This window comes from Homo sapiens, chromosome 11 (genome assembly GCF_000001405.40).
Source record: "Homo sapiens chromosome 11, GRCh38.p14 Primary Assembly".
In the NCBI taxonomy this organism is placed as follows: Eukaryota; Metazoa; Chordata; class Mammalia; order Primates; family Hominidae; genus Homo; species Homo sapiens.
Window position 1 is genome coordinate 124569656 of NC_000011.10, and position 3188 is coordinate 124572843.

General features: G+C 43.2%; 1 protein-coding gene across 1 annotated transcript; it reads left to right on the forward strand.

Annotated features, from left to right (window-relative positions):
• The first annotated feature begins 341 nt into the window (after positions 1 to 341).
• OR8A1 (olfactory receptor family 8 subfamily A member 1) lies at positions 342 to 1719 on the forward strand. The gene has a single exon (NM_001005194.2). The coding sequence runs from the start codon at positions 465 to 467 to the stop codon at positions 1392 to 1394; it is 930 nt and encodes a 309-aa protein (NP_001005194.2). The 5' UTR covers positions 342 to 464; the 3' UTR covers positions 1395 to 1719.
• Positions 1720 to 3188: the final 1469 nt, after the last annotated feature.

A 3188-nucleotide genomic window follows, 5' to 3' on the forward strand; every position in this document is an offset into this window, starting at 1 on the left:
TGTAGAGATTCTCAAACTTTACTATGCAACACCATCACCAGAAAGATTGTTAATACATAGATTGCTGGGCCCCATATCCAGAGTTTCTGATTAATTAGGTGTGAGCTGAGGCCTGAGAATTTGCATCTCTAAAAAACTCCAGGTAATGTCAGTGCTGCTGGTCCAGGGACTACCCTTTGAGAAACACTGCCCCAGGATGCTTTAGAAAAATGTGCATGGTAAAAGATCCAGACCTTGGCCTGCTTTCCTCCCATCTTCATGATCCCTGAAACACTCACGCTGGTCTTCCTGCAAAGAAGACCAGCAAATAGCAGGACGAGGGGAGGAGGGCGGGGAGGATGCATCAGCAGAGAGCCCAGGATGTTTCACTAGCACCAAAGGCTCAAGACTAGCCGTCCAAGATTAGCCTTTTAATGGGGTTCTTGTCTCCCATGCATCCCTGCAGGCCTCCCACCCAGAGGAGAATGGCTGCAGGAAATCACTCTACAGTGACAGAGTTCATTCTCAAGGGTTTAACGAAGAGAGCAGACCTCCAGCTCCCCCTCTTTCTCCTCTTCCTCGGGATCTACTTGGTCACCATCGTGGGGAACCTGGGCATGATCACTCTAATTTGTCTGAACTCTCAGCTGCACACCCCCATGTACTACTTTCTCAGCAATCTGTCACTCATGGATCTCTGCTACTCCTCCGTCATTACCCCTAAGATGCTGGTGAACTTTGTGTCAGAGAAAAACATCATCTCCTACGCAGGGTGCATGTCACAGCTCTACTTCTTCCTTGTTTTTGTCATTGCTGAGTGTTACATGCTGACAGTGATGGCCTACGACCGCTATGTTGCCATCTGCCACCCTTTGCTTTACAACATCATTATGTCTCATCACACCTGCCTGCTGCTGGTGGCTGTGGTCTACGCCATCGGACTCATTGGCTCCACAATAGAAACTGGCCTCATGTTAAAACTGCCCTATTGTGAGCACCTCATCAGTCACTACTTCTGTGACATCCTCCCTCTCATGAAGCTGTCCTGCTCTAGCACCTATGATGTTGAGATGACAGTCTTCTTTTCGGCTGGATTCAACATCATAGTCACGAGCTTAACAGTTCTTGTTTCTTACACCTTCATTCTCTCCAGCATCCTCGGCATCAGCACCACAGAGGGGAGATCCAAAGCCTTCAGCACCTGCAGCTCCCACCTTGCAGCCGTGGGAATGTTCTATGGATCAACTGCATTCATGTACTTAAAACCCTCCACAATCAGTTCCTTGACCCAGGAGAATGTGGCCTCTGTGTTCTACACCACGGTAATCCCCATGTTGAATCCCCTAATCTACAGCCTGAGGAACAAGGAAGTAAAGGCTGCCGTGCAGAAAACGCTGAGGGGTAAACTGTTTTGATGCAAATGTTATTGTTCCTTTTCAATTTAGTGGTAATTGTTATAAATACCAGAGTGACAGCTTCTGAATGCTGGCCAGCTGTGGATGGAAAATAATCACTTCTCCACATGGCTGGGTGAATGGGCATTTTTCCTTCTTTCCTCTTCCTTCCCTCTTCCTTTCCTCTTCCTTCCTCTTCCTTCCTTCCTCTTCTTTCCTCTTCCTTCCCTCCCTCTTTTTTCACTTCTCTTTGAAGCCAGCCAACTTCAGGTTCAGGTTTTCTTTCACTTGAGATCCATCCCTCTACCCCAAGCCCTTTAATAAATGTTTCCTATCTTAATTGTAATTTAACTTAAATGCTAAACTTTCAACATTGAGTTTTAGGGTCATTCATGGTCTTATTATCTTCTATATAGAAAATATTACTCAGCCCAATTTTTTTCTTTTTTTTTTTCTTTTTGGTGACAGAGTCTCACTCCAGCCCAGGCTGGAGTACAGTGGCACGATCTCGGCTCACTGCAACCTCCGCCTCCCAGGTTCAAGTGATTCTCCTGCCTTAGCCTCCCGAGTAGCTGGGATTATAGGCATCTGCCACCATGCCCAGCTAATTTTTGTATTTTTAGTAGAGACGGGGTTTCACCATGTTTGCCAGGCTGGTCTTGAACTCCTGACCTCAAGTGAGCCACCTGCCTTGGCCTCCCAAAGTGCTGGAATTACAGGTGTGAGGCACTGCGCCTGGCCAATTTTTTTTCTTTTTGTACTTGGGAACAAATGAGGCAAAGAGAGGCAAAGTATCTCTACTTACCCCTGCCCAAGAATTTCCTGATCTCTTTATGTAATTTTCTTAGTAACACTAATAATAATGATAACAGCAGCTAACATGTTTTTGGATGCTGACTCTGATCCATGCAATTCTTCTACGTGCTTTCTATTCTATTTCAATTATACTACACAACAAGTAGGTACTATTCTATTCTCATTTCACAGATATGGAACTTGGAGCAGGAGTAACAACACTGAGATTCAAACCCCAGTCCAAGTGGCTTCCAGAGCCCAGACTCTGGGCACTCACACATTACTTCCTTCACTTTAGTCTAGCCGTCCCTTTGAACAGCCTATTAAACCTCCCATAATTATGCTCATCCAATTTCAAATTGGATGAAAATAATTTCTTCTGAAAATAATTTCTCAAATCCCTTCCTTTTATCATCTGCCCAAACCTCTTTCTCTTTATGGGCAACAACTATAATAGGATGGGAAAAGATGCCTAACTAGCATATATAATAATAAACCCTAGCAAACCAGCAAGAAAAAGACATCAACTTTAGCAAGAAAAAAAATGAGCAAGGTATATAGAACAATTTACAAAAGAGAAAACCTGAAGTACCACAGAGCATGTGAAGAGATGCTCAAACCGATTACTAAACATAGAAGCGCAAATTAAAACAGTGATATATCTTTTTACGTTTATAAGATTAGCACAAATTTTAAAAGCTGGATGGTGCTAAGTGTTAGTAAGGAGGTAGGGATTTAGGAACCCCCATATACTACAGCTATTCTGGAAAACAGTAAGACATTACTTAGGAAAAATAAGTATAGGTATCCACAGGGCATAGCAAATCTGGTCCAAGGTATATATAGTCCCAAATCATTCTCTTTCAGGCCTATAAGATGGCATGTACAAAGGCATTCATTATACCATTATTTTTGGCGATGGGAACTTAGAGATAAAATAAGTGTCCACCATTGGGAAAGTAAGTAGATAAATTGTATCTACTTACTTACAATTTATAGACTCTTCAACAGTTAGAAGCA

Excerpts from the sequence above, each read along its gene's own strand:
- OR8A1 (NM_001005194.2), top strand. The coding sequence starts at position 465 with ATGGCTGCAGGAAATCACTCTACAGTGACAGAGTTCATTCTCAAGGGT.